The sequence below is a fragment of the Homo sapiens genome, chromosome 4 (assembly GCF_000001405.40).
Source record: "Homo sapiens chromosome 4, GRCh38.p14 Primary Assembly".
NCBI lineage: Eukaryota > Metazoa > Chordata > Mammalia > Primates > Hominidae > Homo > Homo sapiens.
In genome coordinates, this window is record NC_000004.12 from 36261748 (window position 1) to 36274215 (window position 12468).

The 12468-nt window shown below is 35.7% G+C and overlaps 1 long non-coding RNA gene across 2 annotated transcripts in view; it reads left to right on the forward strand.

The window, feature by feature from the left end:
- The window catches only part of LOC439933 (uncharacterized), a 30100-nt gene extending 17632 nt beyond the window's left edge, over nt 1-12468 (forward strand). The window contains exons 4-5 of one of the 2 annotated variants that reach the window (NR_122079.1): nt 11200-11301; nt 11488-12468. This is a non-coding gene — a long non-coding RNA (uncharacterized LOC439933). The remainder of the gene's footprint in view (nt 1-11199; nt 11302-11487) is intronic. The other variant, NR_122080.1, reaches the window with a different exon arrangement.

The window sequence follows — 12468 nt, forward strand, 5'->3', positions numbered from 1 at the left end:
TTCTGTGATCATGATGGAAAGTGCATCCAACTTCTTCAAAAGTAATATAAAGTCATTGGAAACTAGTTGCTGTTCCATCTAGAGATAACAAATACCTCCTATATTGCTGTGGTGCTATTAAGATGTAGACTGTGGTTACTAGGGCTTGTGGGGGACCAGGAGGAGGGAGAGCATCAGGATAAATAGCTAATCCATGGGGGACTTAATACCTAGGTGATGGGTTGATAGGTACAGCAAACCACCATGGCCCATGTTTACCTATGTAACAAACCTGCACATCCTGCACACGTAAACCAGAACTCAAAATTAACTTAAATTTAAAAAAATTTGTTATGTTGGAAAGAGAAAAAATAAAATGCAGAAAACAAGCAAAAAAATTTTAACTGTGGATTGTGTTAAAGCCTGAAAGATCTACACTGAGCCCATGCAGATGAGTCCATGAATAATACATGTCTGCAAGGGTCAAGGAGTAGTCATGATCACTATTGACAATCAATGGATTAATAGATTAAATGAATCATAAATAAGAAAATATAAATAATATGCTATTCACTAATTAAAACAGTCACATTGTAGGCAATAAAGAACAGTTATTCTAACTAAAAATATAAACGCACATGTGAAAACCGTCAGGCTATCTATGAGATTGTCTATAAGATTAACTTGGACTACATGTGAGAGAAAAATCAACATAACAGCAACCCATTCCAAAGTCCATGAAGATAGAATACATCAAAAACATTTTATAGACATTTCCATTAAAAGTCATTTTCTTTTGAAGATACATATACAAAAACAACTACGGAACAACAAAAAAAATTATTGCAAATATTGTAATACTAAAAGCAAATGGCTCAATGTTGAAGACTAATGTTTTCCCACATTTTGCTTACTTTAACTAATAAACACTAACTTACAGGGAATTTACCACTTTAAGAAAAATGAGTCAATTAAAAAGAGCCCCTTTATATGGCTTCGACTTATATAGAGTTCTAATGTCATTTTCTGTATTTTCATCTCTCTTTCTTTTATTTTTTTACCTTGTCAAATATTTTTCCATGCATTCACTTTGGGAGGAGCACTGTAAATAACTACAGCTCTCTTGTTTAGTACTAGAGAGCTTTTAAATCCCTTCGTATGTAATTTTCATTTACTTCTTACATTAGTAACTTTCATTTACTTACTAATGCTTATTAATACAAAGTACAATGTCTTAGAATGTCTGAAGGTCAATGTTTCTGAATTTTCTCCTGTTTTGTAAAATCCAGAAGTCCTGATTTGTAATATTTTTAACTGATGAGCATTCTCCTGCATTCTGCAGCCTTCAAGAAGCACCGAATGTAATTAACAAGTTCACTGGACCCAGCAATACCATTTCAAAATGTGTAGGTTTCTGTTTCTTAGGAGATCATGCAAACACAGTGATACTCTTTAACAAATAGAAGATGTATTCTTTTCTAAATGTTATAAAAACTTGGATTTTTAGGCAGAATTTTAATACAGAAATTTTTATACAGAATCCTAAGCGTTATGGGCTACATGAGTATATTTTATATTTGTAGTGATGGTCTCAGCTTGAAACTTAGATATTTTCACTTTTGGACATAGATAAATCTGAGCACATCTGGAGAATCAATTCTAGTGGTTTTGAAAATATTTTTGTATTAGAAGACTCCTTTGTTCAGCCGGGCCCAGTGGCTCATGCCTGTAATCCCAGCACTTTGGGAGGCTGAGGCAGGTGGATCATCTGAGGTCAGGAGTTCGAGACCAGCCTGTCCAACATGGTGAAACCCTGTCTTTTTTTAAAAAGATACAAAAATTAGCCAGGAGTGGTGGCAGGCACCTGTAATTCCAGCTACTCGGGAAGCTGAGGTGGGAGAATTGCTTGAACCCAGGAGGTGGAAGTTGCAGTGAGCTGAGATAATGCCACTGCACTCCAACCAGGGTGACAGAGCAAGACTCTGTCTCAAAAAAAAAAAAAAAAAAAAAAGAAAAGAAAAAAAGAACAGAAAAGGAAAGGAAAAAAGAAGACAACTTTGTTCAAATAAAATCGTCAGAGGAAATGAAAATAAAATAAAACAGATGAAACTGATACAGATCTGGTTGAAGTAGAGCAGGGGTGGGATGGGATCGCTTAAATTACATAATAATATTGAATAACTTAATTGAGCATCTTGAAGATACATTTTACAGGCAATTTTAGACACAGGAGAAATTATTTAATATTAGTAGCTTGACTGATAATCCCTGTTTTTATCCTCTGCTTTCCAGGATGCAAAAATCACAAGGCTCAGCTAGGTACATTTGTAGGTGCTCATGCTCTTTTAATTTTTTGACAAAATTTTGGCTCTACATATCATACATTGTGAAACAGTAGGATGAATTATTACACTGAGAAACTACAAATGAGGTACTTCATATTGCACGTGAGGTATTTTAATTTCGGTAACTTCTGGTCAAATTTCATTCTCGCATTTGGTATTTGAAACAAATGAATTCTGCTTGCTTTAATCCAAAATAGACGATATTGGACTCTGAATCCAAACTGCATAGATCTTAATCCCTGGGCTAGGCCTAAATTGCCTATTCCTTCAACACATGTTTATTACCCTTGTGCTATATCAGTCAAGTTTCAGGCAGAGGAGGAAAGTCCCTATGTGTTCTAGGAAAAAGGACTCATTATAGGAATTAGACTTTATACAATGGTGGAAGGAACTAGAAGGTGTGGGAGGATGAGTTAAAGGATCAGAAAAGAAATTAGCAAGGAGCTAATCTGAGAAGCCAAGTATATTCAGTTGCTAAATTTGAGCCACAAAGGGGAGCCCATAGGAAGTGCTCCCTGCAGAGACCAACTCTACAACTCTAGGGGTCCACAGCCAAATGTCTGGAAGTATGTCTTGAGGCCAGCATTGATCTTTAGGGCCAGTAGGCTGGAGGAAGACCTAGTAGCAGAGCAGAGAAAGAAGGCACACTGGAATCTACTGAGCACCACTAATCTATCCATTACCTCCTCAGACTGCAAAACAGCTTTCACAGACTATTGTCTGCTGTGTCACTTCCAATTTTCAAATCTTTTGCAAGCTTTTCTGTTCACTAACTCTATATTGGTAAGGGACTATATAGGTGAGGGGATTCTGGGAAACGTAGTTCTTAGTTTTACCAAGATAATGTAATAGTGTATCATAGCCTGTTCGTGTAAGAAAATGAACTAAGTAATCTGTAAAATGGGACTCATAACAGGGTATTTGAGAAGATGAAATAACATAATGCATGGAAAGCTTTTAACAAGTCACCTACTGAATATTCAAAAAATGATTTTAATTATTCTATATTAAACAAATAGACAAAAATGGGAAGTAATATGATTAACTTGCTCAAAGTGCATTAAAGCAATAATATGCATATTGCTGTGGCTCCCATGAGAATGTGCATCTCGGACCCCTGACTGCTGAGAGTGTAACTAACCAATGCCTCTAGCTGCTAAGCTCTGGAACTCATTGCCTCAGTTGCTTTAGGACCACAGTTTCTCCTTGGCTCTCAGCCAATGTCTGGGTGTGGCAGTGACACCAAGGCAGGTGTGTTGCTGGGAAACCCAGAAGTCCTTTGTGAGTAGAGATTTTTGGCTTGAGACCTCCCAGATGGCTATGTTGATCTTTTCTTAAAACCGCAGGGCTGCAGGACCCATTTAAAATGATTCCACCAAAATTAACTTCCTTCCTTGCTTCCTTCCTTCTTTCCTTTATTCCTTCCTTTCCTGTTTTTCTTTTTTAACCAAGGTCAGACCAAGCCTTTCCCAGCTCCCACCCCTTTTCTCTCTCTGGCAGTTCCCTTAATAAATTTCTTACATGTTTAATCTGGTACAGCTATTTGCTTCTTGGATGACATGGATGAACACAACTGCGAAAGAAAAATGTTAGCACACTAAGAAAATAAGGTCTAGAACCAAAGAGGGAAAAAAAGGAAAGTTAATAAACAAATAATTAATTTAGAAAAATTGACCTCTATAATTTGATTAGACCAACAAAACTGCCTGGGTGCTAATTCTAGACCTTTTTTTTCACCACATAGAGTTTCAAGATAAGAGTTTCTTTATATAGAGTTTACACTCATAGTTCACATACCCTTCCTTCCCTAACAGAAGCCAGGCTATGTCTGGAAAGTGTACTTAGAATGGGAAAATCCAGTTGTCCTGAGACCACACGGATGAACATCCATGGAAATTTACCTGTTCCATGCCTATGTTCTCACTCACTTCCACTAGTCTTTTGTCTAGAGTGAAGTTATCTCTGAAAGAGTATCTGAGAAAATATAGCAAGTTTTCCAAGTTCCAGGAAATCCGAGTAGGTGAAGATACGCTTCACCTCACTGTATATAATGCAACATTGAATGGACTGACACTTATTCTGGCCCAAAGCATAGTTGATCTAATATTTGAATAAGACTATAAAGGATAAGCTCATCTTCCTTTCTTCCATTGCTTTATCTTCTATTTCAGCTTCCATTGAGATGATCAAGAATATGCTAAGTTAGTACTCTATTGCCTAAAAGAAAATTAGTTCCCAGGAAGACAGTTTAATTTTCAAATGCTTTCACTGGATTCAATATAAGAACCAGAAAGAAATATTGATGCTTTTTCAAAGCCTCTTTTGGAGACCTTGTTCATTATATTAATAATCCTTTACATAAAGATCTAGATGCTAAAATCATCTGTAATTCAGTACCTGATACCTCCCGGATGGCTAGGTTGATCACTCCTTAAAACTGCAGGGTCCATCTAAAATGCTCCCATTCAAATTTCCTTCCTTCATTCCTCCCTCCCTCCCTCCTTCCCTCCCTCCCTTCCTTCCTTCCTTCCCTTTCCTTCATTTCTTCCTTCCCTCTTTTTATTCTTCAACCAAGTTCAAACCAAGCCTTTCCCAGCTACCTCCCCTTTTCTCTCCCTGGCAGAAATGTTTTATACCTCCTTTCATCTAAAAATGGGACTAAGACTTTATTCTGCCATTGCCTTGATGGCCAGGAAACTCAGTGTGAAGGTCAATGCTTAAGAATGATGTTTCCACTTTCCTAGTAATTCTTTTTCTCTTTTCCCTGTATAATTTTTTATTTGTAAAACTTTATTAGTAGTACTTATATTGTTTGTGAGTTTATTTTAGGTAAGCTTAAATAGTTGGATTTTTTAGAGGGGATGGAAATAAGTAGGCTATAAAATTTTAAATAAATTATACATGTACGTATATATCAATGTTTACTATGCCCAAACCATGATTAAAAATCACTGATGAAGTTTTAGAAATAAACAGGCCAGGTGGTGTGGCTCAAGAATGTAATCTCAGGATTTTAAGAGGCTGAGGCGGGTAGATCACTTGAGCCTAGGAATTTGAGGCAGCAGTGAAGTATGATTGTGTCACTGCACTCCAGCCAGGGCAACAAAGCAAGACCCTCATCTCTAAAAAAAAGAACAAAAAAAGAAAGAATACTGAAGGGAGTTGTGAAAAATTTAATAGTTTCAATTCAAGCAAGCATGCGAATTTACATCTCATGCTTTTTATTTAAAGGAATGGATCTTTTTGTTTAACCTGTGTCAGGTAGCAGCACTGGAACACGAAGCTGATTGGTTACAGATCTGGTTCTGTAGTATCATGAGAGCCAGCTAGCTCTTCCCTCGGTATCTCCATTCATAAAGTATGAGGGTTGGACTAGGAAGACCTAAGGGATCATTTTTAGCTCTGGAATTGTATGATTTCTTCTGAATTTAAACTTATTCTATTTCAATATTTAAACATCTAATTATCATAGGAGAACACATTCAAGAATGACATTAAGAGGTGACTATGCAAGAGGAAGTTTCCTAACTCTTTTCTCTTTACAAAGACATGCTGAGGACATGGACTGTAATGAAGCATTTCCTTTCAAATTAGATTTGAATGTTACATCAGATAATGAAGCTTTTGAAGTTCTAAGAACTCAAAATTCCATTCAGTGGTCTGACGTCATGAAAATGGATCCTTAACCAGTCAAAAGAGCTAATTCATTTTGGGAGAAAAAATGAAACAAAAGCATCTACAATTTCTTAGTCATTATAGTAGCTCTGTGAAACTATTATATAACCAGCTTAAAAACATACTGTTTTGGTATATATTGTGCAAAAAAGATTCTAAGCTTGACAACAACAAAGAATAGACTCAGTAACTATTTAGAAATACAGCAATTTGCTTTGTTTCAAGCATAGCTGTTACCAATTACTTCATTCTAGCAGTCATGATAGAGCAATACCATCTGAAGGACCTTGGCATTAACTTTGTTGTGAAATATCAGATAGTCTTTGCATGCTGCAACAGGTTGAGTATTTATTTACCTGTAGCATTAATTTGATCTCCAAACAAAATTATATGATATGGGCAGATTACATAGCAATAGAAATGTGTTTATTTAAGTCCAACTAACATAGTTAGCTAGCTAGCTGTGCCATGTAGGCTAACCTACACAAACATGACGTAAGATACATACTTTAATTTCAGCTGCCTGAGAAATGAAACTTTTCTTCTCAGTGCCTAGAAGAGTAGGCACACAAATGTGAAAGCACATAGTAGATGCTTAGCAAACATCTGGTAAATAAACATGCTTTTATGTTATCTTGATAAGCTTAGTGTCTAAAGTGGGAGTTATTAGCATTCACCAAAATGGATGAATTTTATTTCTCCATAAGACATGGAATTTATGATAGAATGTGTGTATAACTCTATATGTATACTTAGATGCCACTGATATTTGTTATATTTCTGGTGTTTTGTTTAGCTGTTTATGGTGGTTGCTCTTGTTTTCTTCAAAAATATTGAAATAGAATTGTCTACTTGTGAGAAGTCCTTTCAGCCTGATCTTATGAAGTGCTATAAGCTATATTTTACCTCAGTATTGAGGCTCTCCAAAAAATGTATCTTTCAAAACCTCAAAGGAAACTGTATCTTGTGTAGTTAATGCAATCAGCCACAGCATAAAAGACTTTTCTGAAGACTTGTAAGGGATCCAAACTTCCAATCTCAAGATTCGGCTGAAAGGGGCTAGAAGTAATTATCTGATAATATATACTACTATGTTTTCTCCTTTTTGTATCCAAGAAAGTCATTTGAGAGTAAACATAGGGGAAAAGTTGCATTAGCAAGTAATATACAGCAGAGGTAAAAATCCCAGGAACACCTAGAGAAGGAGCAGGCAGGAGTAAAACTGTTTCTTTCATGGCTTACACATTGTAGGCCAGAAAAAAAAAAAAAAAAACAAAAAAAAAAACACTGTACATTTTCATTCAAACTCACATCCACAAAGTCTTCTCTGGATCAACCAAATTAAACTAAATCCACCAGCATGAGAAATTCAAGGACTGAGCAGAAGAATGTCTCGTCATTAATAATAAATTGGTATATAACCCAGAAGACCCTTCTTTCTTTCTTTTAAGTTCAAGATATGGCTGCTTCCGAATTCTTGTCCCCATGGAAACAAGATGTGCTTGGTATAACAAGATGACAGAGGGAAACAGCTTCACAGCTGTGGCTACATCACTGGGGCTGGTTTCACTGTGAAGTTCTTCTGACTGCTACACTATTGGTTCATCTGTGATTCCCCCGTTCTTTCCACAAATCGAGGTCTATGCAACAGTTTGAAGTTGCATTTGAGGATGTCTCAAGTTTTTGATATTTGACATCTGTTGGTTGTGTTTCTCTCTATTGCTTTCTTGTCTATTTCATGCATTCTTTAAAAATCTTGTTTAATACATTGCTAATTTGCTCTTTTGAATGTACATTTTTAGTTTTCTTTGATCTTTATCAAACGCAAGTTTAGTCACTCCAGCTAGATGTTTAAGATCCACAGAGAGAAAAACTATTTAAGCCACCTCCAAGATTAGAACAATGCTTAGTATACAATAAACACAATCTATATTGGCTGATGGACAAATGACTCACTTTAGGGCTCTTATTCTCTGTAATATGTAGTTATACAGGTCAGCAGTCCTCATTTTTAGCCAGCAGAGATTTGGTAATACATTTGGTTCCCTACAGTGGATGACTGTTGATGATCTTGACTTGCTGTTTGCGCTATTCATGGCTCACAGGTGATGTTAATTAAAGTCGTCCCTAAATGGGCTGTAACATCAATTACTGGCCCAAATCTCACAGCTAAACTGCAGGTTGGGCATCACCACTATCACTTGGAAACAGTTAACATTGTATGGAGGCTGACACTCTACACACATAGCTACATGGCGATGTGCAAACTTTCTCAAGAATTCACTTGTCTATTCTATTTTGCTTCTTTGTTTGTGTATCTCAGAAAAGGGCATTGCCACAGCTGCTGGATTACGTAATGGTTCAAAATAACAGTCTTCAAGGTCATTCAAACACATGGCTATCTCTTTGGACCAGAATAAGAATTCCAACTTTCATTAAAAAGTCATCATAACACCCTGATTTACTCATAAATAGTCCTCGTATGAATTACCTCTTCTCAAAAAGCATACTGAAGATATTTTCTTGCGTTTGTTGTTGTTGTTTGTTTAATTTATGGCATGTCCCATGCTATCTTTGAAGTACTCCACTTTCTGGGTCCTTAAGAATGTTGAGATTATTCTCCAGGTATTAAGTTTAGATCTTATTGCTGAAATGAGACCAAGTGAAGTACAGTAAAATATTTGAAAGTCTGTTTTTTAAAAAAAAATCTAGAGTTTTTTAATAAGACTATTTTGAATATGTTAACAATCCATATCTTAAAATCTTACAGCTTATTTCATAAAATACAATCCAAGGGCTCCTTGTACTTCCAGATATTGAATTAGTAATCATCAGTTTTTTAGAAATTACTCCTTTTTACTATTCTAAGCTATCTTTAACATTTTGAAAATTTAATGAATGAAATTGTGATTTTTAAAAGAACCCAAACAGAGGCACCAGTTTCTCTCATGAGTGAATATATTATTACTCTTGTACATTTGAAATAAGAGAAGTCCTCTAGTACTGAACATTCTGGCATATATTTCCTAGTACCATCGGTCCTTCTTAGGACATAATTGAGACACTGAGGAATTAAGTCCCTCAAGACACAAGGAAGCCACTTCCCACCAGAGGTTCTGACTTTATTGTACTATCCTGTATAATCACATGAATTCATATGGCACCATTACTGAAGTATAATGAGATCATTAACTCCTAAGCACCCAGTTTATTCTAGACTTTCAAAAATACAGACTGATTTAAGATTAAGAAGCAATTGCAACTATGTATTTGCAACAAAAGCAGTTATGAGAAGAGAGATGGGGAAAACAAATTGTATTATACTATTTAAGCTCGAATTTCCTTACTCTCACCCCCACCTGGACAAAATGGCTCTTATAACATCCACTGTCTATTAAAGTTTTTGCTTTTAAAACAAAATTAATATTCCTAAGAAACACAAATATAAAAGGTGATGTCTTTTTTTTTCCATTTCAAATATGGATCTGATTTTAAGACCTTATTTTCAAATGGCTCTCTCAGTGCTTTTGTAGGTAAGAGCCAAGAATTAAGAACAACCCTCATCTTGTGTGTTAGATAATACCACAGAGAGTTTCTCTATCCTCAGCTTTAACTCCTGTCTACTGACTAGACCTATTTAAGTTACCTAACCTGTTTAATGAGCTCCAAAAATAAATGTATATTATAGAGAAAACCAAAGGACACCCACTATTTACAGAGAAATGACACGGAGAGGGCATTTCTTCAATATGTGACCTAAATAACCCAAATCAGATTTAATTCAATATGGGAATCTGGGATTACATCGGAGCTGTTATCTGGGTCTGCCAGTAACTGCAATAACATCTTTAAACAGTAGCACAATCTTGGATAGACTCTGTCTAACAAAAATGACTTCTCCACTAGGATAGAAATTAATTCACCATTGCTCTCATTTTTATCACAAGGAGGTAAAATAAATTTTTAAAAATCAAATGCAGCTTCCTTGGAATGTTACAGCTAATTCTGAATTAAGAAATGAACTAGTTAGTAGTTATGTATTTCTGACAATGCTGAAAACAACATGCTTCTAATGATATCATTTCACATACAGACCTAACACATAGGCTGAGATGCACCTGGAAAGGCATCCCATAGAAGCTTCAGATTTTATTATTACAGGTTCATTCTTTAAAAATTCAAATAGGGCCTGGCACGGTGGCTCTTGGCATTTTGGGATGCCGAGGTGGGTGGATAATTTGAGTCCAGGAGTTTGAGACTGGCCTGGCCAACATGGCGAAACCCCCTTTTTACTAAAATTACAAAATTAGCCATGGGTGGTGTTGTGTCCCTGTAGTCCCAGCTACTCTGGTGGCTGAGGCATGAGAATCGCTTGAACCCCAGAAGAAGAGGTTGCAGTGAGCCAAGATTGTGCCACTGCACTCCAACCTGGGTGACACAGCGAGACTGTGTCAAAAAAAAAAATCAAATAATGCTGCTGAGGAGAATCAACACCTGCCAAGACTCTAATGCAAGTGGGTTTATTTGGGTGATTTTTGACAGATGACACAAGGCAGCAAGAGATAAAGGGTAACTTGGAAGATACGCTGAAAGGGGTAGATGGATGGGAAACATGGCCAGAAAGGAGATGTCGGTGATAATTTCATAATAAACATGCTAGCCTAGGGCCGGCCATGGCTGTTCCTCCCACCTATTGCCACTTGCTGAGGTTCTAGAATGTCCCTGAACCTGGTGATAAGAACAGTGATGAGGGGAAGTAAAGTAAAAAAGAAGATTGATAACATTTTCTCTTCTGATATTGGACATGGTTAATGCCTATAGTGGATATAAATAATGTAAGATAGTTGATAGCATAAGGTCAAATGTGTCAAGATAGCAACAGTCTAAGAGGGGAAATAGTTATACTCCTAAATAGCTTAATGTTGTCCATTTATAATATATATATATTCATTTTTCTGAGAAACAAATATTCTTGGAGGCTCATTGTATACAATGTCATCCTTTTAGTAATGATGAACACTATGGGGTCCTGAGGTATTCTCAGCTCATAGAAATTTAGCTGGAAGAGCTCAAATATTTCTAAAAAGCAACAAATTAGGCATTCTTTTGCATCATTTCCCTACTTCAAGATAGAGTTTTCTTGATGTTGAGGGTTGAGTTTATGCTGAATAATTTGATTCTTGCAAATTTATTTTTACAGTGCGAGGGATATTTCTGCTGACAATTCAACATTCAAAGGGATGAGTGTATGACGTCTCTAAGAGATGTCATGGAGTGCATGTAGAAGGGACTTTTTATGGAGGTAAGATGTAGAATAGGACAGTCATGTTTAATTGATGAATTTTGTTATGATTGTCCAGAAGTAAAACAGAGAACCTGGAAGTGATTTGGGAGGAATATGTTAGTGTCAACACATATGAGACCTTTTCTTTGTCTTCTTTTTAAAAAACTCTTTTTCATTCATGTGTTTCCTCTTTGTCTTTTTCAGAACTACTTCTCAAATCACTATTCACATCCTGGTAGAAGTCAAGCAATGAAGATGGCACAGAAACACATCCCAAATACTATGATACCATAAAGTATACTGTAGCAATGCATTGGCACACCCTCATTTGAACATTTGTCTCAGAAGATTTTGACAGAAGATAAAATTGTCTGGTTTTTATTTCATTGGTTTCATGAAAATTTATTTCACTGGTTTCATGTCACAGGCCCATGACTGTATAAAGAGTCATAATCTTTACAAACACAACAATGACTCACAGCGACATGTTGCAAAGCTGTAATCGAAAACACTGATGTTGATTTCAGAGGCCATTAATGGTGTTAAGAAGGCGCTTTTGTTAACCAAATAATTGAATACTCGTAATTACTTTTCAGTTCTAGTTCAGTTCTTGACACCAAAACAAGCCATTTTCTTTACATAGTGAATGCAGAACTTGCCAGTAAGAACTTTCATACTAAACTTCTATGTAAAACAAAACATGTCAAAATCAGTAACTACTTTAATGGAATGGTAAAGAATTTACTTAAACACAAAGGAATGAAAATATCTCTGCAAATATGTCTATTGACTTTTCAAATTTGGTGACTTCTTTCGAATTAATTCCCTTACGTCTGTTCCTCATCCACATAAAAATGACAAAAATGAAAGATAATTTTCCAGCCTATAATTAAATTTCTCCATTGTTGGTATATGTTTTTTCAAATACATTTTTCAGTTTTCATAATTCATATGAGAATTATTAAAAGGGAGTTAGTTGCCTTTAGGACCTTATTTGGAGCCTAATTCTTAAAAATTGTGTAAAAATAATTGTGACTTTTAAGAGACAATTGGAAATTTGAACCTGACCACATTTTTGTGATATTAAGGAATTTTATTAATTATTTTCTAGGTGGGGGAATGATATGATGATATTCTTAAAATAATGTGTGGATTGTTTATTACATTTCAACATTTTCTTAATCA